This window comes from Homo sapiens, chromosome 14 (assembly GCF_000001405.40).
Source record: "Homo sapiens chromosome 14, GRCh38.p14 Primary Assembly".
NCBI classification, from domain to species: Eukaryota; Metazoa; Chordata; class Mammalia; order Primates; family Hominidae; genus Homo; species Homo sapiens.
Window position 1 is genome coordinate 85,571,401 of NC_000014.9, and position 26,050 is coordinate 85,597,450.

The following is a 26,050-nucleotide window of genomic DNA, read 5'->3' on the forward strand; positions in this document are numbered from 1 at the left end:
GTTGACAATTGGCAGCATGAAGAGTGTAACCAGTGGATGGGGTGATTGATGTAGACATAAGGAAGAAGAAATGGTTTGTATAATCTCTGCTGTTCCCTTCGATTGACATGCTCAAAGGCTGCCTATACCAAAGATTGATTCCAAGAATTAGAATTAAATGTAATCATTGTTAGTCCAGTACTGAATATTTCCTCGATGTGCTTACCATGGTGGAGTGGGAGGAATCTTATTTAGGTGGGCTGTGGTGGGTCAGCATGGGGACAGAGCCAAAGGGAGGCACAGCTTCTCTGATTTCCTGTGTATTTGATATCCAAAGAACACAGTTAGGACCTTTTTCGCTCATCAAGTGTCTCATGATGTGGTGTGTCAAAGCTCTCAGTGGCTCTTGTTTCTCACTACGGTGACCTAAACCATTTGTCAAGAGATACCATTGTTTTGCATTCAGTGAAATAGAAAGGTGAACATGTGTGTATGTGTTTTGGAAGGATGGGATAGTGCCAGTTTACTAGCAATTTCCTGTAATCTGCAACCAGTCTTACCTATGCAACCCCAAATATTTTGGGGTCCAGAGCCTTGAGAACGATCACTATTATTATCTGACAGCTGCATAGGGGTGAGACAAACCATAAAATGTTGAGAACCCCCAGCCTAGACAGCTATGGCCTCACTGTTGTGTCTGGCATTCACTGCTACAAACAACACAAATCATGTACTTTATATCTTGAAGTTGTCACTCAGCCCTGTGTTTTCTCATTTCTGTGTCTTTACTTAGATCATAAACCTAGGATTTCCTTTTCTCTGCTTATCTAAGTCCTACTCCTCTTTCAAGGCCAATCTTAAGTGGCTTATCTTCCATGAAGAATTCCCAGACTGTTTTAACTCACGGTGGTTCCCTTTTTCTGGGAGCTCATAGTCATTATCAGTTATACCACTTTGGGCTATTCATCAGGAGCTGCCGTGTGTACTTTTATGTTCTTTTGTAGTTGTTATTTAACTGTCATTTTCATTAACTTCTCAAGCAGGTATGCGTTATCTCCTCAACCCAGACATGGGGAGCAGGACAGTATATCCAGTAATTTTTTGTACTGTCTGCATAATTATTCACGTCCCGTATTCATGGCAGGGGTTGTTATTAAGCATGTGTTGGCTAACTGATTATAAGACAGTTATGTGCAGACAGTAGGCCTCGCTATTCTTTTATAGCTCATTTTTCCTGCATGTTGCTAGGCACAGAGTAAGTTTTGTGCTTTAGTCCCTGTAAGTATATGGTGACTGGCTGACCCACTGGGTCCACAGAAACACACATTCATGCTTCTCATTCAATACATTTCGTGTGTGCCTTGTGCCCTGCTTGTGGAAGATAGTTCAAACATGTTAATTGACTTACTCTTCATAGTAGCCCCTTGAGTTAGCTGCTGTTATTTATATTTTACAGATGGCTAAGGGACTTAGAGAGTTTGAGTAGCCTGTCCAGATCTTATGGCCTGTGGAACCTGGATTTGAACACAAGTCTGAGTAACTCTCTCAAGAGAGAGTTTTTGTCACTCACTACTTTCCACTCTACTGAATTCTTACTACATACATGCCACACTTCAGTTTTTTAGTCATTCCTATCTCTGATTAGTCACAGTTTTGTGTGCATACATTTCTTTGTGAGTCATCATTTTGGGCATAGAACTGGGTTGAAACTCATAGTCAGCAACCCAGATTTGTCTATCATATCCTCCATCAGAGGAAAGTTCCTATCAATGTAAATAGAGGGATGGGTGGCAAGTTATTTTAAAAAGCTGATATATCACAGAGAAAAAAATCCTGCTAAGAGAGGGAGACCCTCCCTCTCCCACCCCTTCACTCCTACCCCACACATCACACTCACACATCACACATATCACATACATCACACTCACACATCTCTCTCTCTCTCTCTCACATACACACACATCTTTGGGAGCAAAAAGTAATTGAGTTTTATTTTTAGGTCAGTGCAATTAGATTTTTCTTTACTCGCTTTTAATATTATATTAGCTTTCTCTGATAAAATGAAGAAGCAGTTTACGCCTGTTGAGGTAATTTCTGAATCAGATGTGGGTTTCTTTATGCTCCACCATGATTGGCCAGTTGCTTTGTAATGAAGGAGTTTGCACTTCAGCTAAGCCTGGAAAAATGTCTCAGCTCCTTCTACTGGGTGTGCCAACCCTTTCAGCTGTTCAAGACACAGGATGTGAGGAGGAATTGTTTAACGGTGACAGCATGGAGTAAATTCTGACATCAGGTGTCAGGGGTTCTATTCTTGGTTTTGTTTCTGGACTGCTAATTTAGGGTGAGAATGATTTTCCCCTCAGCGTCCTCATCTGGGTAGTGAAGTAGTCCAGGACAGTATTTTTGCAGCCATTATTTGGGTTTACATGATCTCCTTTTGACATTCTCAAGTAAACCCTGCTTTAAGTTTTAAGACTTTTATACCACATCTAAAGGCTCAGTGGAGTGAGTTGAGCCATCAGAGAAATCTGGCTTGTTGTGTCTTCCTCATTTCTTTTGATTAGTCTGAGTTGCCAGATCATTTTCAAATGGCTGTGCATCAAGGCTCACCTGGGAGCTTGTAAACATAGTGGTGCTTGGCCCGTAAGAGGCCGGATCCACAGGGGAAGGTCCCAGTAGTTCAGATTTTCAGAGTTCTTCCCAGGAAACCGTGAAGCATACTAGTGATAAGGGCATCTGGGCTGCACCATTAACCAGCTCAAAAATAGTTCATTCAGAATTTCCCCATGACTATTTCATTATTTTGTTATTAGGGTTGATAGTTTTAATACATAAAAATAGAGGATAAATGATAATATTTTATATATAAATAAAAAACATATATGTATAATAGTATATTTAATACATAAGAATAGAAGATAAATAATAAATAAAAATAGGTATATTTGAATTTCTGATAATGCATATTCTTGCATGCATATGTCCCACGCAATATTCGAATCTTGTTTTATCTTGTTTGGCAATGCTTCATGCCATAGAGCCAGGAAAATCTCAATTCTTTCACAAAAACTAATGCAGAGAGGTCACAAAGGACCTTGAGACAGAGGGTTTGTAGAGGCTTTGGTACTGCCCATTAAAATGTATTGAGTCCTTTTGAGAACCATTATACTGGAAATTTGGAGACGCCTTTTCAATTTTTGGTTCCTTTTCTTCTCTTTCTGTTGCATTTTGCCAGTGCAGCATTCACTTTTATTTCTTAAATAAATTGAAGATTTTTTTTTTAGAGTGTTAAGGAATTTAACCACATGGCTCCTATTAAGCCATCATTGCATACAGAAATTTGTTACAATCTTTCTCATGTGGATACTGCCACCTTCTCCTAAACTGCAGAGTATCTTGATGTGAGGTGTGTAAGAAATCTAAGACCTCCTCACTGGCCAATTTGTTGTCTTCACAAATAGTTATTCTTTCAAATAGAATATTTCTTACTGTAGTTAAATTGTACTTCTTTAGGCTCCTTTGGAAAAAATTTACCCAGGACATACCAAACAAGGTAGGAAACCAAGGCATTGGCCATTGTTCAAGAGCAAACCAGGTCAGCACCAACAAAGTCGGGATTCATTTCTATTGAAACTGATCTCTGGGTACCACCCACAGTTATTACAAACTGACTCAGCAAAAAAGGCCTGTGGCCATTCGAAAAGCAAATATTTTTGCTTTGGCTTTTATTTAATAAGTTTTCAAATGTGATTTTCTAGGCCCCTAATAGGCACACTTATCTTGTGAATATGGCAGATACTAGCACAGAGCCTGCAATGGGGGTTGTGATTGTCAAGGATCTGCTGCTTCTGGGTGCTTTGGGGTGGAATGTGGGTGGATGGAGTAAGGGCTTCTGTGACTGAGAACCACATTCCTCTCTGTCTGCAGGTGAGGACAGTTTGATTAGTTCTTACAACATTTTTTTTTTTGCAAACTCAAAAATATCTACTAATACTTCTGATTTTCCACCTTAAAATATTGTTGTCGAAGGAATTAAGGAGTTCTGCAGCTCAAAAACAAAGTGTTCCCAAATTTACTTACCTTTTTGGTAAGCACATGTTAGGTTGGACCTGGGGAAATAAAACAGTTGTCTGTGTTGGGTCAGACACAGTGGTGATCCCAGGCAAAGGGTAGTCAGTGGGGAAATGAGATGAACAGTTTCCTTCCCTGAGGCCCCAAACCACTGTTTTGTAAAAGGAGCATTGGAAATCCTTCCCTCAACTGCACTTTTTTTTCCATAGGGCAAATGGACTAATGAATAAAGAACAATGGGCAGCAATTTAAACCTCTAGAAGAGCTGCAGAGAGTGAAAGTGTTTAGGAGGGAAGACAGAATGAGCCTGGCTTTGTTGCCCTTCACCCAGCTCCTGAAGCCCTAGTCTACAGCTAAATGCCTTCACGTCTGTGTGTCAAATATTCATCTGTAAAGAAGTGATAATGCCACTTACTTGGCTGGGCTATGGAGAAGATTAAAGAAAGTAATATATGTTAAGTGCCTAGCACAATGCCTGGGAGGGGTATAGCTTTTAAGGAGTTCAGAAAACCTTAATTCCCTCTTGCCTTTAAAACTCCATTTGTGAGGGTATATTCTAGAATTAGAAAGGGTACTTATTGCACTAACTCGTTAAGAGATTGTTCATGGACTTGTTTATTTATATGCTGTGTTTTCTCTGATTAATAACCTACTTTGGAGCTCACCACGACCAAGCATGAGGTAAAATGATCTTCCTTTACTCAAAATGTGTGCTATATTTGAAATTCTGGCTGACCGTGGCCGCCTCAAAAACTCATGACCTCAGTTATCCGGGTTTCCTTCAGCTCTAGTGCTGTTTTAATTATAAGTATTTACTTTTTTTTGTTTTTCTTTCGTGGCAAGAGCTGTGTATTTCCATTACCATGGTTATCTTCTGATGCCTCAAAGTATTTGGCTGTTTTCCTTTATTTAGGCATAAAGGCAGAGACATTGTAATTTGTCCAAAAGTATTTGCTGTCTCCAAACAGTAGACAGAATGGCATACATTTATGAAGTGCTAAACCATTACCATTGTTTTGTGTTTGGTGCTTGCAAACTGGGAGCTTTACATGTTATTAAAAGCTTTCAACACCTTCTTCTCCTCCTTTGAAAAATAATCAGCATATTGCTTGCCTCCAGCATTCTTTTAAGGAAAGCCAAAGACAGTGTTTTTCAATTTCCGAAAATCTAATTCCAAATGCAATGGCAGTACACACTGGTTGGACCTTTTAGGGGTAAGTTAACAAGCTGTTTGTCCTATTTGTTTTCAAACCCATTTCAGATTTGCAGCTCTCCATATTAAAACTAGTTGCTTGTTTGGTGGTGGAAATATTCTATTGCATTGGAGAAAAGGTATTGTAGACACACCTTGAAAGTATTCCAAATGTACCTGAAAGAGCATTGACATTCAGCCATCAGAGGGGAGCAGAAATTCTGCTGGCAGACCCCAAATCTTTGACATGAAATTCACAAAATGTGCACACGTTTTGTATTTCTATTTAGAAAAAGTGGAAAGCCAGCTCTGCCCATGTGTGCTCCTGATCTTAAATACTGTTATTCTTCTAAATATAGTTCAGGACATTTGTCAGTGAACTGTGAAGCTATTGTTAAAAATAAAATGGAAATTCAAACCTCAAAATAAACGATGAGCGATTTGTAATGCATTACCACTTGCGGTTTTCGCTTGGGGTTGGTAAATCTGAGGCCCATGGAATCCCATTTTGGGGGAACCCTATTTAAATACTGTAGTAAAAGGCTTTTGAATCTTATAATTCTGGTGGCTACTTTTGCATTTGAGTAGAAAACTACAAAGCTGGATTGATTTTTCAAAAATGTATTTTTATATTTTGTCAATATATATAAAAATGGAGGAGAGGAAGTGAAATGATTCATTTTAGATGACAAATGAATCCATTTTCCCCTGCAGTGCTCTTACAAAATTCCTGTTGACATTCAAGTTAAGCACATGCATGAAGAGGAGAATTCTAGTCACAAGCTCACTGCTGCTGTCTCTAAAAGGAGATGCATGGATTTTTGTTAATTCCCTGCAGCCATGCTCCCTTTCAAGACTCTGTTTTCTAGGCAGTCTCCTCTCTTTTAGTCTGGCTATTAGCCTCTGAGGACTATGCCCTACCTTCCATGTGTGTTTTCCTGATTATTTTTTTTTTTTCTTTTGAGACAGGGTCTCACCGTGTTGCCCAGGTCAGAGTACAGTGGTGCCGTCATAGCTTGCTGTAATCTGGAACTCCTGGGCACAAGTGGTCCTCCTGCCTCAGTCTCTCGAGTAGCTAAGACTACAGGAGTGCAACACTGCACCTGGCTAAGGTTTTTTGTAGACATGGAGTCTCACAGTGTTGCCCAGGCTGGCCTCAAACTCCTGTCCTCAAGCGATCCTCTGGCCTTGGTCTCCCAAGGCACTGGGATTACAGGTGTGAGCTACCACACTAGGGCCTGATTTACTTTTTTATTTTTTTTCACTGTCAATAGGACTTGCGCGAGAAGGTCGTGAGCAGACTTTGGCCTTTATTCAGGAAATGGCTATCACTGTCTCTGGAGATTGTGTCAAACTGAGTTGAGCAGGAAAGGGCCCAATGTTTCTAATGTTGCATCCACTGCCACCTTTTTGTTGTCACCTATGCACAAAAGGACACCCAGTTTGTTGTTTAAAGTATATATATATTTATATATATAAAAATATCTGTATATATATATTTATATATATAAAAATATCTTTATATATAAAAATATCTTTATATATATTTATATATATTTATATATAAATATACGTATATATATTTATATATTTTTTATGTATATATATAGGCACCTGTGTTTTAGCCCCTAGTTCTCCATGTAGACATTTAGAAATTTGCTAAATATTCTCCTGCAACAGTTTTTGTGTGACTTGTGCCAGACCAAAAAAAATCACAGGCTCACTATATTAACTAGGCAGTGTAAAAGCATATTGCAAACATTATTATCAGAAGAGAACAACTTTGTAAGTCTATAATCATTTTGAATACTAATGGCAGCAATAACAATGGTAACTGATGGGTGATAAACCGAGGACGGATGGCTAAGTGCTGTCTCGGAGAAGTCAGCTTATAAATCAGAGGCAGAGCACAGGGAAGGAGGACAGGCCTGACCTCAGGACAAAGCTTTCAACCCTGACACAGGCAAAGAAAATAGTCATCGTAGCATCGTGGGGAGATACGGGTTGAGTGATATAATAAACCTCTTTTAAGGAACTTTCTGATTTTTTCCGCATATTTACTTTACGTACCTCAACCCAGGGGGCATTCTTTCACCAAAGGAGTATTGCTTCAAATTGAATAAATGCACACACAAAAAAATCACAGGCAGCTCTACTGGATGGTGAAATATGGCTGCCTTGTCATGAGAGGAGTTAACTGAGTCTCATTGAGACCTGGATGGCCATCCCTGCTCCTCAAACCAGAAGGCACTCCAAAGGCTGGAGATGTCTTGCAAACTTGGGAAATATTTGAGCAGCAGAAACACATCTCTCCCAGTTGGAGTCTCAACCTTCTGATCCACCCCAGCACCCCTGATAGAAATCAGCTTTGGGAAAACACTTTGAATTCTTGTTTTGAGACGACTGGTGTCTGCAGTGAATCTCTGTTCCTCTCCCACCCTCCCTTCTGGATAAGGTCCTCCTTTCTGCCAGCCCTGTTGGACTTTTGTTTCTCCTTCCCCCGGGAGCTGCCTTTGAAGTCAGTGGGAGCTGTGCAGTGGGCTGGTGAGAGTGGGAGGCTGGAGTGGGGGAACCAGGCCCAGATGCAATCTATGCTGCTTACTGGGATTATGGGTTTCTCCTTCTCCTTCCTTTTTATGTATTTATTTTTATTTTGAAATGTGTGTCTTCTCTTGGCTAAAATAAAGACCGGGGGAATTGGTCTGGCTTTAAAGAACCCTCTGGAGCCAGCTTATTCATACAGAGTTAACTGTGACAAGTAGCCGCCACCAAAGCCACAAGTACCAGGATTTGGAAATTGGACATAAACCCATTTCATTTATGCTTAGGTTATTTGGGAGGGGTGGGGAAGGGCTGGAAAGTGTCGGAAAATTTATAAATGAATCCTGTTGTCCTCTCTTTTCTAGTATCTCGTTTTCCAGCCACTTGGAGCAAATTAATTTGCCTCTCAGAACCCCAATTTTCCGTATCTATAAAATGGAAATAAAATTCTTAGCCCATGGGGTTGTTTTGAAGATGCAAACACTGATATTCTTAAGCACTTTACATAGTTTCTGGTTCATTTTAACTGATTAATAATTTGAATTCTTTGTCATTATCAAGACTGTATTTATGAGATGGCAAGTTTCTACTGAATATGTAATAAGGGCTTACAGGGCAAAAATGACAGGGCTGTCTTTAAAAGCGATGCCACTGGGATACTAGTGAATACTTCTTTGTGAATATATCCACCAATACTCTAGATTGGGTCAGGGGTGGTCATTCCATGCACAGGGTATTAGAATTTTTTTTTTTTTTTTTTTTTTTAAATAAGTGGTTATCCAAAGGGGTTGATGCCTGGGTCATTTGGAGATTTGTCCTTGAACATTCTCCAGTCTGGCTTGGGTTGTCTCAGTTTTGTCACTCAGATTTGCATCTTGTCTTTCTTTCTGTTTTTAGTTGCTTGGATTTCTCCCAAAGTATTTGTGGCTGAAATTCCTTTTGGACTCTGAGCTGCCTTTTTTACATAAGCTTTGGATTGGAATCAATAGAATGTCAAGATGCCAGGCACATTCAGCCTAATAGCAGGTGGGTGTCTGCTGGACAGTGTGCCTGGTTTGCCTGACAGTAGCAAATTTAGGCCAGAATTAATGAGCCAGGGAAGGTACTGTTGGTGTTGCAAGATTTTTGCAGTTTTCAGAAGTAATTTTGTTTTTCCTTTTTAATGGGATTTTCAGAAGTTTTCAGAAGTAATTTTGTTTTTCCTTTTTAATGGGATTACATTTGCAAAAGAAGTTTGTGTTCATATATGTGCGAGTGCATGCATGCCCCTTTATTATAATACCTTTATGATGGCATCGAGGCAATTTATTTTTAGAAAATAGTATTCACACATACCTAAAAATCTGGTTCATAAACCTTAATAGAGTTTCGTTAAAGTTAACGGTTTGTCTTAGTCTGTTTAATGTTCAAAGAGAAGAAAACACCCAAAAGTGGAGTGAATTGCTGAAGTTTCTTGTGTACACTTATTAGGACATATTCCTGCTATATGATGAGCTATCATCAGAAAACAGTCAGCAGAAGCCAGGTCATGTGGGCTGGTGAGGAAAGGAAATGGGTGTAGAGCAAGCGTTCCTGTGTTTCTAGCGGATTGAGAAAAATGCCTGCCTTTTGATTTTCTTTTTCCTCTGGGGTTTTACTTATATATCAAGGAGTAAAAAAAGAAATCCCTCATTTATCTAGGTGCTTTTAAAGAATAAATGTGGAAATGCAAGTAAAGTACCTGGTGTACATCCTAGGCATTCCAAAAATAGTGGCGTTCTGGCTAATCCGAAGAGATTAGATGAGAAGTCCATAGTGATGATTCAGGTTTCTTTCATGTTTTATATATTAGCTGGCCTTTTTGTTTTTCTTATTCTTTATCTTGCAACAGGCATTCGCTTATTTCGGCTTTTAATTTCTAACATAAACTCAACTCTGAAACCCATGCCTTCTAATTGTTGACCACAGATACCCTTGAAATTTGCGCGACCGCCCACAGTGGGATGGTATTAAAACATTCTGATCTAGATTTGGGCAGAGGATGAATAAAATGGAAATGAGGCTTATGCAAATTAGCTTCCCATTTGTTTGAAGATGGTCGAGGGCAGCAGCAGTCCTTGAGTCTTCCAGATTTTAGAACAGAGCAAGCAGTGCTCTGAATGACAAGCCCTTGGCTTCACGTGGCTCATAACAGGATACCACTTACCCCCAGAGAAGACTGACCTCTATATTTAGTGGTCAAAGAAAGGAAAAGAATTGTTGGATGCTACCATTGAGTCCTAGTTCAAACAGTTTAGAAAACTACCACATCTCCACTTCTTGGAGCAATATGGCGGTTGTTCCCTTCCCCTAGGTTCACAGCCTGAGTCTTCGTGGGCCTTCATAGCACAAGTAAAAGAATATTAATGTTAGAAGTTGACTCCAGAATGGAGACTTCCATTTTCTTCTGGAATAAAAGATTAAATTATCTCTATAAAGTAGTAACATTATATACATTCTTACAAAGTTTGTTTTACAGTATTATTTTAAATTTATAGAAATGGATTGTATATAATGAAATTATTTATTTTTATTCAGGGAAAATGTGTATTTATTTATGGGGCTTATGAGATTGGTGCCCCAAAGTTCTTGACCCACGTTTCATTTGAGTAAAGCTTGGTGTAAGGTTTGGAATCATTTTGTAGTGTTATTTCTTAAGATCTTTCCACCCACAGTTAGGACATGTGACACATGTGATTCTATGTCATTTCATTTCAACTTGGGTCTTACTTAGCCTTTGAAAGGATGAAATCCTGACTCTGGTTGACAGCTGTGTCTGTAAACATGAATGCAGTTTGGTATTAACTTTTATCTTTCCATACAGTGAGGGGCATGGAACAGTACCACTAACAATGGGAGGTGCTTACATAATGTTAACTACCACTCTACAATCTGTGTGATATAGGAGGTTGAATCCATATGTAGATCCTGCTCTTAGATCCTGTAGATTGATGGTAAAGCAAAAACAAATGGAGCGTTGATAGAATTCTGTTGAGTAGCCATATGAGCATTATTCTGATACATATGAAATACAACCTTGTGATTATATGATATATGTGTTTGTATATGCATGCAGGGTGTAGTTGTGGTTTGTTTCAATTTAGGAACCTCTGTGAAAGTGACGGAAAGCTTGAATGGAGACCCTAAGGAAGAGGTAGAAATTACTTGTTCAATAACTCTTAGAGGTCTTTTTCAATACTACTAATTGATTGTGATTTGTACTTAGTGTTTGTTTGAGGCATTGTGGCAAAGTGGTCAAGAAGTCTAGAATTAGGCCAGTCAGAGTTTAAATCCTAGCATTTATTAGCATAGATTTTGGGTGCATTATTTATCCTCTCTGGGATCAGTTTCTTCATCTGTGTAATGGGAGTAACTGGAGCATCGACCTTATAATCCTACTGTGTGAATTAAATGAAGACATCTCAAATAAGGTGCCTGGTACGTAGTTAGGCACTCAGTAAACCATAGCTATTGCCATTATAATCATTACTATAATATGTATAATGGGAATAATAATTAGTCTATCTTATGGACTAATATAGTCCTTGTATGGATTACATATCTAGCTGTTTTTATTATTAATTTAGGATGACAGCACCTAATTTTGAGTGTTGTTAAGTAGCGGCTAGCAGAAAGGACCTCATTTTATAAGATTCTGTGTAGGTTGGAGATATATACATATATATCCAACTATATATATATATAGTTTTTACTATATATTTCTATAATTTTCTGCCTCATTGTTTGATTTCACAGCTCTGGAGGTTAAAGCTAAGCTACCTCTCCACTCTCCTGTCCCTGCCCTTATCTAAAATAGAAAGCCATCTGAAAGAAAAGAACCTAGGGAAAATTCCCATGTGAGAAATGAAATTGTCCTTGTGAAGGGTTAGGACTCTAGGAACTGTGTGCAGAAAATCGTTGAAAGATAATCTTTATAGGATGCTGAAAATTACTGGCAGGGATCAACTCTGAAGGTTAAATTGTCTCTGCCAGTGCCTCTAACAGGAAATACAAGGGAGATTTATTTATTTATAATGTCCACCTTCATTTTGTATACTGTGTTGTAATACTTAGAGAAATAAAGGTAATGGAAAAGAATAGGTAAAGTACATTCATTTTGTTAAATCAGAAATTCAACAAACAGTCTTAACCCATTCAGAAGCCTTGCAGCTGGTGTGCTGAAGTGGCCAGATTTTTCCTAGTTGTAGTTGTCAAGGAGTTAATCCATTGAGCAACTGATGAGCACTCTGTCCCATGAACAGAATTCAAATGTGGATTAAAGCAATGAATTTTAGGAACAGAACGCTCCTATTTTGGCAACAGTTACTTGAGCCCCAAGTACTTCCAGAATTAAGCAGTAGATGCTGTGGAGAGACGCTCCTAGCACAGCCCTGGACTCCTACAGGATAAAGTCAGGATCAGAGCTCCTGGTCCGCTTAAAGAATATTCCCTCAAGGCATTGTGCACGGAAGGAGATATAATTTACTTTACATAACGTGGAGTGCTGCATGTTGATTGCCATGCCCTAGAAAGAGCAGAGGCAGAAGCCTCCTGAAAATCAGGCAGAAGGAAGAGAAAATGGGCTCTTCTTAAACTAATCAGAATCTGAAAGTGGATATATGGATGTTTTAAGAATAGGTGGTGGCTGAATGCAAAGGTGCGCCTGTAATCCCAGCTACTTGGGGGCCTGAGCTGGGAGGATCCCTTGAGCCCAGGAGTTTGAAGCCAGCCTGGGCAATGTAGCAAGACACTGTTTCTTTAAAAAAAAAAAAAAAAGACTAGGTAGTGATTGGCATTAGTGTTTGGATCTGCCTCTGTGGTTGCAGTAGACCGTCTTTATTCTTGCAATAGGATTTATTTATTTATCCCTCAGAGAATATGGGCTGCCTCACTTCCTCACCAGTGAGTTTGCAGGCTCAGGAAAGCTCTACAATTAAATTGCTCTATTGTTTTAACCTCTCTGTTTAAGCACTGGTGAACTAGGGCTCCTTAGCTACTTGCCTAGCAAAATGAACAAGTTGATTAATATTTGCACAGGACTAGAAAATGCCTTTTTTGAATGAGATGGGCACATATGGCTGCATAGTATTGACTCAGGACATTGCACTTATTTCCTTGTTTAAATAATTAGCAAAAGAAATCATATTAAAAAATGCTGAAAGGTATAAAGAGAAAAATGTGATGGCCAATCAAAGCTGTGAACGGCCTTTCTTATGCTGTGTCTTAATTCTGTATTTCTGTAAAGCAGTAGGTATTGAATGCCTAGATGGAGTGGCTCAATACAGTCAGATTTTGAGGCTTTTCCTTAGACATTCTGCAGTTCTTTCTCCTCTTGGTGTCTTTCAGGACATGACAGTATGCCCCCCAGAGCCACAGAGGACAGACATCCTTCTCTGGGCCTCCATGCCTGCTCCTCTGCAAACAGGGCAGGTCCTGCCCGGGCTGAGCAGAGAATCGCTTCCTGTGCAGTTGCTGGCCGCCCCTGCAGATGCAGAACCCTGACACAGGGTTCTAAGTGGTACTGAAAGCTGCTTTATGAGCCTTGCAGAGGCGGTGTGCATGTGTGCAGCTGCACATCTGCGAGAATACTGGTGGGTTCAGGCAACGCTGGCCCTACCTTAGCCAAGCCTTCTGTGTGGGAGCTATATGAGGCTTTTGTACTCTTGCTTAGTTTTCATTGCAAATGGGGCCGTATCCAAAAGGCATAGAGTGGGGGTGGGAGGTGGGTGGCAGGGCGGGGGGAAGGTAGAAATGATGGATAAAGATGTAAGAAGGATAAGGAGAGACCAGATGCAGTCGAGGGCTTTTGTGGCATGAGGAAAGGATATTTAACTTGGCACCAAGAAATGGGGTGGCATTCTAATGCTGCTCCTGACCTCCTGTGTGACCTTGAGCTCCAGTTTCCCTCTTTGTAAAATGGTGGCCCTGATGACTACCTACAAGGTTGGAGGTGGGAATAAGGGACCTAATGCATGTCCAGTCATCTGTCATCAACACTCAATAAGCCTTTTCCTTTCGTGGCCATCCATCTTCAGGTTTGACGGAAGTGAGGATCTGCCCTCAGGGTTGAAAGGTCAAGATGGTTTGCTCAAATATTTTATTTCTCTCATAAATCTCTTGCAGGTTTGGTTCATCCCAGACTATTCTTTTTCAGGGCAGTATTTATATTGTCACTGCGTTCAGGCTGCCTTCCCCATTTGATGGGGCCCAGCAGTGTTCAGTTATACTGATAATACCAAAATTATCTTCATTTTAAAAAATGTAAACCTTTTTATTTCTGATCATTAATGTAAGGTAAGTATATTGTTGATAATTTGGAAAATCCAAAGTTAAAGGATAAAATTACTACTAATTGTAATCTCAGCACACAGAAAGAATCATGTGTGTGTGTGTATTATATGCATGTGCGTGTGTATAGAGGGCATTCTATTTGTATTGTATTTCTTTATTATTTAGGGTTGTTGATACTGTAAAATAAATGATTTTTTTTGAGAATGAAGATGGGTGAACCTTGTTTTTCTCATATTTAACTAAATCTAAATGACAGGATATTTGGTAAAAGGAGATATAAAGCTACAAGGGCCCTTGCGGCACCTGCCATGAGGTCTGTCTAGGTGAAGAGCTGGGGAACCAAAGATGAGCAGCTGAATTTTCTGTTCTTGATGTTCTGCGGGAGTAATGATGCACCAGATGATAATGATAGAAGATATTTTGATAATTTACTTCTTTGATATTGGCTCTACATGCTTTTAATTAAGTATATATATTTTTAGTTAAATATGTAAATATATTTCATTAAAAGCATATATTTTAATGAAATATATATTTAATTAAAATATATATTATACTTAAGTGATATAAGCTATATACAGTTTTTATATAGTCAGTGTATATTTATTATATTTTATATAATCAGTGTTTATATAATATATATAATACACATATGTATATATATTACATATTAATATAAATATGATTAATTCTAACAACTCCATGATTTTATCTTTATCATTTTATCTTCATTTTACAGAAGAGGAAAAGAAGCCACAGAGAGGTTAGTGAAGTAACTTGTCCATAAGTCACACAGCAGTAAACACTGGAGTCAGGCTTCAATCCCAGAGCACTCTGGAGCCTGAGTTTTCTTACGTACTCTGCTTACTGCACTGACAATACTGATATAAGAAACAATGTTCAATCAATAACATACAGTTTCAGCTATGGAAAATGAATAAGTTCCAGAGATTTGCTGTACAACATTGTGCCTATAGTTGAGAGTACTGTATTAAACACTTAATTTGTTAAGATGGTAGACAGCATATTAAATGTTCTTACTATAATAAAATGAACACTTAAAAAAAGAATACTTACAATTGATGCTTTATAATCGTGATAAAACTCACTCATATTTATGTGCCAATTCTTACACAGTTTAGGAATTGAAAATACGGTATTTTGATATATATAGGTAAATATATGAAGTAAATATATATGTACACACACACACACACACACATATCTCAAAGTAAAAAGGAAAAAATAAAAAAGGTCTTTGTTTAGGTTTCTGTTTTAGCAACTGAAATTTTAACGCCATTCAGGCAAATTCTCATGGGCATGGTAGATATAGAATCAGTTTAGTCGTGATCCTGTCATTTGTACAGTGGGGTCATGCTATTTCTCAAAGTCAGAAGAAAGAAGTTCACATACAAAAGGTTGACGTGGAAAGATAAGCTGGTTTTCATTGAGCTTAGGTGGAGCTGGTTTTCCTTTATAGACCAGTATATATTCTCCTGCTTGGCCATAGGGAAATTACATGCTATTTTATACACAATTATATATTACTTTCTACAACCAGTATCTAACTTGATATTTAGCCCTTGGCTCTATCTAAGACAAAGGTATTGCAATTGCCCATTTTACCATCAAACGAGGAAGCTTTGTTGTACTTCGCTTTCAAAATGATCCTTGAAAACCTACACACATACACACACCAGCACTTACATTCTTTTAGTATTTCAGGAAGTGGGCATGAGTAGGTTTGAGCCTTGAAACTGCTTTGTCATCCAGTTTGTAGCTGGCTAAGGAATGGAAAAAAAAAAAAAAAAAAGAAGAAAGCAGAGCTCATCTTGATCATTGTAATTGGCACTGACAGCAAACACCAGTGTGCCAATAGCGCCAAAGAATTCCTACGCAAAAGCTACTTCAGCTGTCCGAGATTTTCCTGATTTGTTTTGTTTGTGCATTTGATGTATAATCTTGTGGTTTGGCCCTCCTCACCACCTAAAACAGAAAAAGCATATTCAGTTCCTAGGTCATTTTAACTGGAACTTGATCTTCAAGTTCCAACTATGTCAACAAATTAAAGGACTTGACCATGAATTTTTTTTTTTTCTAAGTGAACACTTTGCCATTCCTCAAACCCTACCGCAGGTTCAGCAGACACATGTAAGCGGCCTCTTTAGATGTGGTCACCGTTGACAGCTCAAAAGAACAAAATCAAAACCCTGAAGACTTTACATAAAAACTCATCGTTGGAAGAAGAGCTCGTATTTCAAAGATGATATTAATATGAGAATATTTTTTAACATCCTCTTTTAGCATAAATTTCTCATGATTAAAATATTACCCACAATGCTGTATTGTCTAATCACCTGGTTAGTAAGATGTCTGGAACTGTGGCATGGTGAATGATGAGGAAATGTTCTGGGGGACTGCTTTTATTTCAGCTTCTTTTTTGTTTGTTTTTTTTTTGAGATGGAGTCTTGCTCTGTCTCCCAGGCTGGAGTGCAGTGGCGCAATCTCAGCTCACCGCAATCTCGGCCTCCCGGGTTCATGCCATTCTCCTGCCTCAGCCTCCCGAGTGATATTTCAGCTTCTTTCTTATTGATGATGATGATGGGATTAGACAAAAATATTGCAGAACGAAACAAGTGTCACTATTTGAGTCCCGAATCTTATTTTCTTCATACTATTATACACTTAAAATTAGTGCCTATTTTTGTCTCCTCTTATAGCTTCTTCTCCTCACATCTTGTTAAGTGAAAGACAGACGGGCCTTAATATTACTAAGAATAATAAAAATACTTCCAATTCAATAAACATTTCAGTAACTGGATGAAGGTCTTTGCTTGAATTGTCTCTCGTGGTACCCTCATCTACCCTTCAAGGCAGGTATGCTGTGTTAATGATAGTATTACTCAAATAAGACTTGGCCTTCTAGAAATTAAATGACTTGATCCAGTTCCTATCACTAGCTCAGTTTTTTTTTTTTTTTAATTTTTACTTTTTTTGGGTACATAGTAGGTGTATATATTTATGAGGTACATAAGATGTTTTGATACAGGCATGCAATGTGAAATAACCACATCATGAGAATGGGGTATCCATCCTCTTAAGGATTTATCTTTTGTGTTACAAACAACCCAGTTATACTCTTTGAGTTACTTTAAAATGTACGGTTAAGTTATTATTCATCATAGTCACCCCGTTGTGCTGTCAAATAGGTCTTATTTGTTCCTTTTATTTTTTTTCTACCCATTAACGATACTTACTTTTCCCCCACCCCAGCCCCTCAGTACCCTTCCAGCCTCTGGTAACCATCTTTCTATTCTATATGTCTATGAATTCAATTGTTTTGATTTTTAGATTTCACAAACAAATGAGAACATGTGATGTTTGTCTTTCTGTGCCTGCTTTATTTCACTTAACATAGTGATCTCCAGTTCCATTCATGTTGGATGGGTGATAGGATCTCATTCTTTTTTGTGGCTGAATAGTGCTCCATTTTCTTTATTCATTCATCTGTTGATGGACACTTAGGTTCTTTCCAAATCTTGGCTATTGTGAACAGTGCTGCAACAAACATGGGGATGCAGATATCTCTTTGATATACAGATGGCCAACATTTTCTTTCTTTGGGGTATATATCCAGTAATGCAATTGCTGGATTATATGGTAGCTTAATTTTTAGTATTTTGAGGAGCCTCCAAACTGTTCTCCACAGTGGTTATGCTAACCTGCATTCCCACCAGCAGGGTACAAAAGTTCCCTTTTCTCTGCATACTTGCCAGCATTTTTTATTGCCTCTCTTCTGCATATAAGGTATTTTTACTGGGGTGTGATGATATCTCAATGTAGTTTTAATTTGCATTTCTCTATTGGTCAGTGGTGTTGAGCACCTTTTCATATGCCTGATTGCCATTTGTGTTTCTTCTTTTGAGAAATGTCTGTCCAAATCTTTTGCCCGTGTTTTGATTGGATTATTAGCTTTTTTCCTATAGTCGTTTGATCTCTTTATATCTTCTTGTTATTAAGCCCTGGTCAAATAGATAGTTTGTAAATATTTTCTCCCATTCTGTGGGTATGTCTCTTCACCTTGTGGATTGTTTCCTTTGCTGTGCAGAAGCTTTTTAACTTGTGATCCCATTTGTCCATTTTTGCTTTGGCTGCCTGTGCTTGTGGGGTATTGATCAAGAAATTTTTGCCCATACCAATGTCCTGGAGATTTTCCCCTAGGTTTTCTTATGGTAGTTTAATTCTTTGAGGTCTTAGATTTAAGTCTTTGATAGATTTTGATTTGATTTTTGTATATGGCAAGGGATACAGGTCTATTTTCACTCTTCTGCCTATGGATATCAAGTTTTCCTGGTACCATTTATTGAAGAGACTGTCTTTTCCCCAGCATATGTTCTTGGCACTTTTGTCAAAAGTGGATGCGCTGTAGGTGAGTGGATTCTCTATTCTGTTCCATTGGTCTCTGTGTCAGTTTTTATGCCAGTACCACGCTGTTTTGGTTACTATAGCTCTGTAGTATAATTTGAGGGTAATGTGATTCCTCCAGTTTTGTTGTTTTTGCTCAGATTTTTTTTTTTTTTTAAACATAACATTATAGACCTTTTGAGCTCTTTGTTGTAGGATGCTGAGCTGTGCATCATATGGGATTTTGCAGCATTCATGGTCTCTCCCCACCAAATGTCAGTAGCATCCCCAGTCAAGACTATCAAAAATGTCTCCAACGTTGCCAAATTTCCTTGGGGTGGGGGCAGTGAGGCAAAACTGCCCCCTTTAGAATGACTTTGCTAGCCGTGTGACAGAGCCTGGGAATGCCCTAGACGAATTTCCTTCCTCTTAACCCATGTGCTGTACAATACCTGTCTTCTTGTCCCTTCTGTTTTTTCATCTGAGCATAAGAGTTTAGAACTTGAAAAGCAAATCACTAATGTCTGCTTTTTCATCTCAATGATAGGTGAAGTGCATTGATGAATACTTCCTTTTCTCTTTGTGGGTATAGTAAATTAAATCTTGTATAGAGATCCATGTATTGTGAAGGCAGTAGTATTTGCACAGTATCATGCATATGGAGAAGGGATAGAGTAAGGATATTTATTTTATTTTATTTTTATTTTTATTTCATTTTTTTGAGACAGAGTCTCGCTCTTTCGCCCAGGCTGGAGTGCAGTGGTGCGGTCTCGGCTCACTGCAACCTCTGCCTCCCCGGTTCAAGCAATTCTCTGTCTCAGCCTCCCGATAGCTGGGACTACAGGTGCCCACCACCATGCCTGGCTAATTTTTGTATTTTTAGTAGAGATGGGGTTTCACCATATTGGTCAGGCTGGCCTCAAACTCCTGACCTCAGGTGATCCACCTACCTTGGCCTCCTGAAGTGCTGGGATTACAGGCTTGAGCCATAGCATTTTTTAAATTGCTCACCTCTCTTTCCTAATTGTGTGCTTGGGATACATGTTCACTGAGTCAGACTTCTAATCACTCTTTCCTCTGAATTTCTGTGTGGCCTTGAGTGAGTCACTAAATCATTTGTATTTCTTCTTTATCTTTTTTGGGAAAGCAAACACCATCTTCTACTGTAATACTTTTACTTTTGACTTTGGAGGGTAGCATGATAGTAACTGCAAAACTCTTTGAAAGGAATTCCAAGACATCCAATTCATTGAAAAGCAAATATAATTTTTGGAAAAAGAAAGCATTGTTCATTGGAATTAATTTTGCAGATGAATTAGTTCATTTATCAGCCATCAATCAATATTTAAAATACGGTAAGAAGAAAGCCAGGAGGTAGTAACACAACCCCTTCCCAGGCCGTTTTCTCAGGGATAGGCCCTTTCTCAAGCCTTGGAGTCACTGAGGATTGGGTAAATACAAAACCACTGTAGAAAAACTGAATGAAAGCACGCATCAGTAGTGACTGGATGTTGGTATCATCCACTCATTTCATAGAAGCTGAGGACACATCTTGCCCTTTTCCAGTATAGATATGTTTGAAGTACATTGTCTTGTGGGAATGCCTTTTCCCAATTAGAAATTTGGCAATGGAAAAAAAGATTTGGCCTCTGAAGTTCTGAAGATGCATAGGCAGGGGACACACCACAGCCCTGCCTCTTGCTTGAGGAAGTTACAGAGCAGGTTGTAATTAAGCACTTGAAATGTAACAGGTGAATCCTTAGGTGACTGGGAATCCCATCACCTCAACCCTGCAAAATAGCCATCAAATTGCTTTTGCCAATTAGTACATGAAACAGCTGAAAATATAACAAATCTCCATTTATCTAGGGCGGTAGGCAACTAAATGTTTCTTCTTAACTGCTCTTGATTTATTGAGTGAAGTGAGGTGGTGTTTTGTCTGGTGAATACATAGCATTTTTACTGCTTAATAAATATTTCATGAGCTAAGCCCTGACTCTTATGGATGTGGAGAATAAAGAGGCATTATGCTTATATAGAATGCTATATAATTTTAATATGCATTTATGTCATTGTTTTAAACACATAAACAGTCAAGAAATGAATAACTCCATGAAGTTGAAATTAACAAAGTAAATTACAAATTGACTTTAAAAGTGTCACATTAAATACTTTTTTCCATAGTTGCTGATTTTACCCTGCCTGCAGTGGGTCGTTAAAACAGATGTGACAGGAAGAAAACAAAAAAAATATTTTATAAGTTTTTTTTAAGTGATAGGATAAAGTTGGTTTTCTTGTGATGGTAGAAAAGAAAATAGAAAAATAAGAAAGTGTCCCCAGAGAAAGAAGGTGGTAGCTCCCCTTTCTTCTGCTCGTTACATCCCGAAAACCACATCCTGGTTCCTCTCCTTATCTGGCAGCAATTGGGCTGCAAATTGTGGGACACGTGGTAAATGGGAACCTCCACTCACCTTTCTTTTTTTTATCAGGTAGATAGAACTGATAGACCATCCTGTTTGGTGGTAAATATACGTCAACTCTAAGAACAAATGGGGTCTGGAATTTGCAAAGAAGTATCACCATTACTTGCCAGGTGAAAATCTGGAATCAGCCGGGTGCAGTGGCGCAACGGCTGTAATCCCAGCACTTTGGGAGGCCAAGGTGAGCAGATCACCTGAGGTCAGGAGTTTGAGACCACCCTGGCCAACATGGTGAAACCCTATCTCTACTAAAAATACAAAAATTAGTCGAGCATCAGGTTGGGCACCTGTAATCCCAGCTACTCAGGAGGCTGAGGCAGGAGAATCGCCTGAACCCAGGAGGCGAAGGTTGCAGCGAGCCGAGATCGTCCCATTGCACTCCAGCCTGGGTGACAGGAGCGAAACTCCGTCTCAAAAAAAAAAAAAAAAAAGAAAAAAAAGAAAACCTGGAACCGCATGAATTCTGTACCTGTTCATACAGGATACCATGCAGAGTATAATGGAATATTTGGAGCTGGAGAACATTCTACATTGTTGGCTCCATGTGCACAGGGCTTTCTTTGTAGTCATTCTATAATATTTTCAAATTACATACATGTTTAACACAATATTTTCAAGTAATAGTTTCAAATCAGTGGATTGAAAATGTAGAAAAGATACCTTCATCTACTGTACACTAATCTCAATTCACATTTGGATATGGGTAACATTTCCTTTTCTTCTTAGGCTAAGTAATTGCCACCAGGTTATACTGTTTTTTAAGAACATTTAGGTTAACTACAAAAGAGAAAAGGAAACAGACATTTTGCTAGATGTTTATATAATTTTCCTAGATTAACTTTTAATTTTTTTTGAAGCATGGGTTGCTTTCAAATGGTTAATTTTAGGCTTTTCCTAAAATTTTCAGATTTTCCTACAATGTCTGTGTGTCCAGTTCTGTGTGACTTTTGAAAGTCCATGAAATTAACCACTATCTCTTGCACATAATGTTCAAACTCTTTTTCTCAGACCTCACCTTCTGGCTGCAGGGCCAGTAAGGTTAATTTAGAGCATGTCATACCTTTCACAGGGCTCTTCCTTACATATGATTGAAACTCTGTTGATTGAAAATGTGTTGAGCCCAAATCTGTGAGTGCCAGTAGGGTTTTCAATGTCATGTACTTTCTGAGGATAAGAACCAAGGTATTGTTGGGTATTTAAAGTCTATCTCAGAGCCAATGAATAATGTTTTACAAATTCTTCACTCTTTACAACATTGCCAACCTTCTACTGTTTCTTTTGGCTATTTAGCATTGTTCGTGTGACAGTTACCTGGGCATTTTTTTCCCCTTTAATTGAAACAATTTTATAACTAGCTCTGAGCATTAAAGATACTTAGCATCTGATATTTAAAAATTATGTTTTTGTGTAATTCCAGAACTCTGGGAGTTCAAGGCAGGCGGATCACTTGAGGTCAGGAGGTTGAGACTAGCCTGGCCAACATGGTGAAACCCCATCTTTACTAAAAATATAAAAATTAGCCAGGTGTGGTGGTACATACCTGTAATCCCAGCTACTCCAGAGGCTGAGGCAGGAGAATTGCTTGAATCCAGGAGGCAGAGGTTGCAGTGAGCCGAGATCATGCCACTGCACTGCAGTCTAGGTGACAGAGCAAGACTCTGTCTCAAAAACAAAACAAAACAAAACAAAACATATATATATGTATTTAAAATTCCTAGTCATCTTATATATTGTGGATCCCATCATATGTCTACTTATTTAGAATATTCAGGTCCAATTATTTGTTAATAATTTGTTTTTAAATTCATTAAAATAAGTTTTGTTTAGTAATGTTAAACATACACTAAGCATATAATATTTAACTGTTATTGCTTAAATATTAAACACTCTCAGTTAAGGGACAGGAGGAAAAAATTGTGTAGGCCTTGATCAGTATGGCTGGGAAGGCCTGGGGATTTGTGTTGTGTGTGGAATGTGTGTACACGTCTTTGAGTTTGGTTTTGTGTGAGTGAGTAAAACTTCATCAAATAGCCACTCCCAGAGATGTGTGTGTGCCGCTCCCTCATACCTGTAAGTCTCAACTCACATACCCTAGGTGCGGCTTAGCTTGACTGTGACTATTTAAACCTTGGCCCTCCACCACAAACTCTAAATCTCTCTTACCCCAGTAGGTGCTCAATAAACAGTTGAGAACTTTCTCCCTGAGCTCTGAAAGAATGAGGGTCTTTGGAGTTGTTTTAATCTCACTCATTTGCAGTTGAGAAACACATGTTTTGGTACTTTTGAATCTAAACCCGTCTCCTATTCAATTTTCCTATAATCCTCATAAAAACTAAAGTTTACTTAATGGAGTTGACTCTTGAAAAATGCTGGAGTTAGGAACACGGACCCTCTGCACAGTTGAAAAATCTGCCGTTACCTTTTGACTCCCCCAGAATTTAACTACTAATAGCCTATTGTTGAGTGGAAGCCTCACCAATAACACAGTCGATTAACACATACTTTGTATTTTATATGTATTATTGACAGTATTCTTACAATAAACTAGAGAAAAGAAAATGTTATTAAGGAAATTGTAAGGAAAATACATTTACTTAAGTAAATGTATTAAGTGGAAATGGATCATGATAAAGTTCTTTATCCTCATCTTCTTCACATTAATAGGCTGAGGGGGAGGAGGAAGAGGAGGGGTTGGTCTTGCTATCTCAGGGTGGCAGAGGTGGAAGAGATGAAGGGTGAAGGGGAAGCAAGAGAGGCAGGTACACTTGGTGCTACTTTTATTCAAAGAAATCCACATATAAGTGGACCTGCATGGTTCAAACCCATGTTGTTCTAGTGCCAAGTATACTTCCATAATGCCCAAAGTCATTAATTAATAAGAGATGTGTTTTATAAGTTAGAAAGACCCTGGCTTTGGGAGTCATATAATCCTAGGATCAAGTGCTGATGTTTACAGTCTGTGTAAATTTAAGCAAATGAATTTACTTAACTTTAGTTTTAAGATAAATCTCACAAATGGGCTAGTAATAATGACCTACAAGAATTTTGTGACAATTAGCAGTAAGATGTGAAAAAAAAAAAAAAAAATGCCCGACAAGGTGCTTGGCATTGAGAAGGTGCTCAGTAACTGATTTGCATACATTTCAAGTATATATATGTGCTTGTTTGTTACATATGTGTATATGCACACAGCTATGAGAAATCATGGATTCCTTTCAAAAATGTGGAAGAAAGAACCCTTTGAAGTCTATATGAAAAGAGCTTAGGAATTAATGTCCTGCTTTTATCCACGGTATAACTGCCTACCATGTTCAAAGGGCATCGATAGAATTAATATTCAAAATTTTCTTTGAAGCCCTGATACAGAAGGACCCGGAAGTAAAACCCATAGCTATTTCTATAGGGGAATAAGTTCTCAATATCAAGTAACAGACCCAGTGGGAAAACTAGGCCATTTCTGGTTTGCTATGTTTTCTTGACTTCACATATATATTTTCTTGGTTCTGTGAAGAAGATTTGGAAGGGTTCACTTGGCGGGCAAGAAGTGATCGTGTTTCTTTGTCTGTTGGTTGGAGTTGAGCTGTACAAGTCCCCTGGGGCAGGTTTGGAGGTCTTTGAGATTTCTGCAATTGGGATTGGACTGGTTTTCATTCCGATTCAGATGGGCTGTGGCTGCATCTCTCAGGAAATTACGGTTCACTTTTTGACCGTCCAGGAAGAGCCTTTTAAAATAGTGATGCCCAAAAAACAAACAATGACTCCCTGCATAGGGCAAGGAGGCTGCATCTCACCCAGGGGCCAGGAAACAGGCGCCCCTGAACCTTTGCCGTTGTTTGTTTTCACACGTTATCTTCTCTTCCAGATCTGGAGACTGACATAGAAACTGTCCTCGCGGATTTAGGTGCGGTCCATTGAATTACCACCAATACTCATCTTCACAAGAATCTTAAATAGAATCAGGCGTTTCTGTAAATATTGAAACAACTGGACATACACTTTTCATGTCGCTCTGTTTTCCTTTCTGAGGAGCTCCAGCACATTTGTTAGCTATTTGTCATGTTACGCCTTTTACAATCATGGACCAAAACAGAGATTAGACACTAATGTAAGACAGTCTTTGTTGTCGTTGTTGTTGTTGTTGTTGTTTAAATGTGGAAAAAGGATTTTAATGTGGGAATTTATTTTCTGGAATTGTCCAATGTACAAATAGATAAAATAATTTCAGAGGTAGAGATTCTAAAGTAATTGAACCCATCGTCTTGCTAAAGACTTTTTTAAAAAAAACATTTTCATTATTTAAACTCTCTTAGCCTATCATGATGGTACCTGGGAGAATTCAGAGTTTCACAGGTGAGCAGTTACTGTGCATCTGGCACAGATGAGAACATGCTAGTTGCGCCTTGTTATGGGGTGTGTTGACTTTCAATTGATTTTAAGCACACTTGAAATGGTAATGAGAATACTGAGCTGGGAGAGAGCATATGGCCTTAACGATTTGATTCTCAGAAAACAAGCAAACATTTAAAAATGATAGAGTTTTCTGAGCGTCAAAGTCAAGGTGAAAGCTGGGTGTTTGAATGACAGAAACGATTTATTCTTTATTATCTTTAGCTGTGCCTTTATTATATTTTATTGCGTTGAGATGAAAAAAATAGAGAGGAACACCAGCATTTGCTATCCAAGTTTGGATCAAATTAAATATGACATAAGGCTTTGCTCAAAAGGTATGACAACTTTGGCGCTTTTGAACTCAAATCATCCTTTCAAACAAAATTTAATATGAAAAAGTCAATTAAAATATAATAAGGAAAAATGTAGCTCAAGGAGCTGGAAAATGAGAGAATATATATCAGGCCATGAGAGAAAGATGAAGAGAAATATAAGCTGTTAGGGCATGAACTACATTTATATATACAATACTCCATACATATTCTCTTATTAACTAAGACAGGTATGTGAGAAAAGGAGATGGGCGATTTAGAGAACGTTGATTTCTTTATGAGAAAATACATCCTATTACAAACATACGTGGTAAGTTTGTCTTTTTATTTGTTCTACCTGATTTTGCTGGCTG

At 38.4% G+C, this 26,050-nt stretch overlaps 1 protein-coding gene across 6 annotated transcripts in view, besides 1 other annotated feature; it reads left to right on the forward strand.

Moving 5' to 3' along the window:
* FLRT2 (fibronectin leucine rich transmembrane protein 2) overlaps positions 1 to 26,050 on the forward strand; it is a 124,285-nt gene that overhangs the window by 41,257 nt on the left and 56,978 nt on the right. The window lies entirely within an intron of this gene.
* Positions 4,037 to 4,663: an enhancer, noted in NCBI's record as "OCT4-NANOG hESC enhancer chr14:86041781-86042407 (GRCh37/hg19 assembly coordinates)". NCBI's record gives its function as "activates a minimal SCP1, AML or CMV promoter by ChIP-STARR-seq in primed H9 embryonic stem cells {active_cell/tissue: H9 hESC(primed)}" and the evidence as "EXISTENCE:reporter gene assay evidence [ECO:0000049][PMID:30033119]".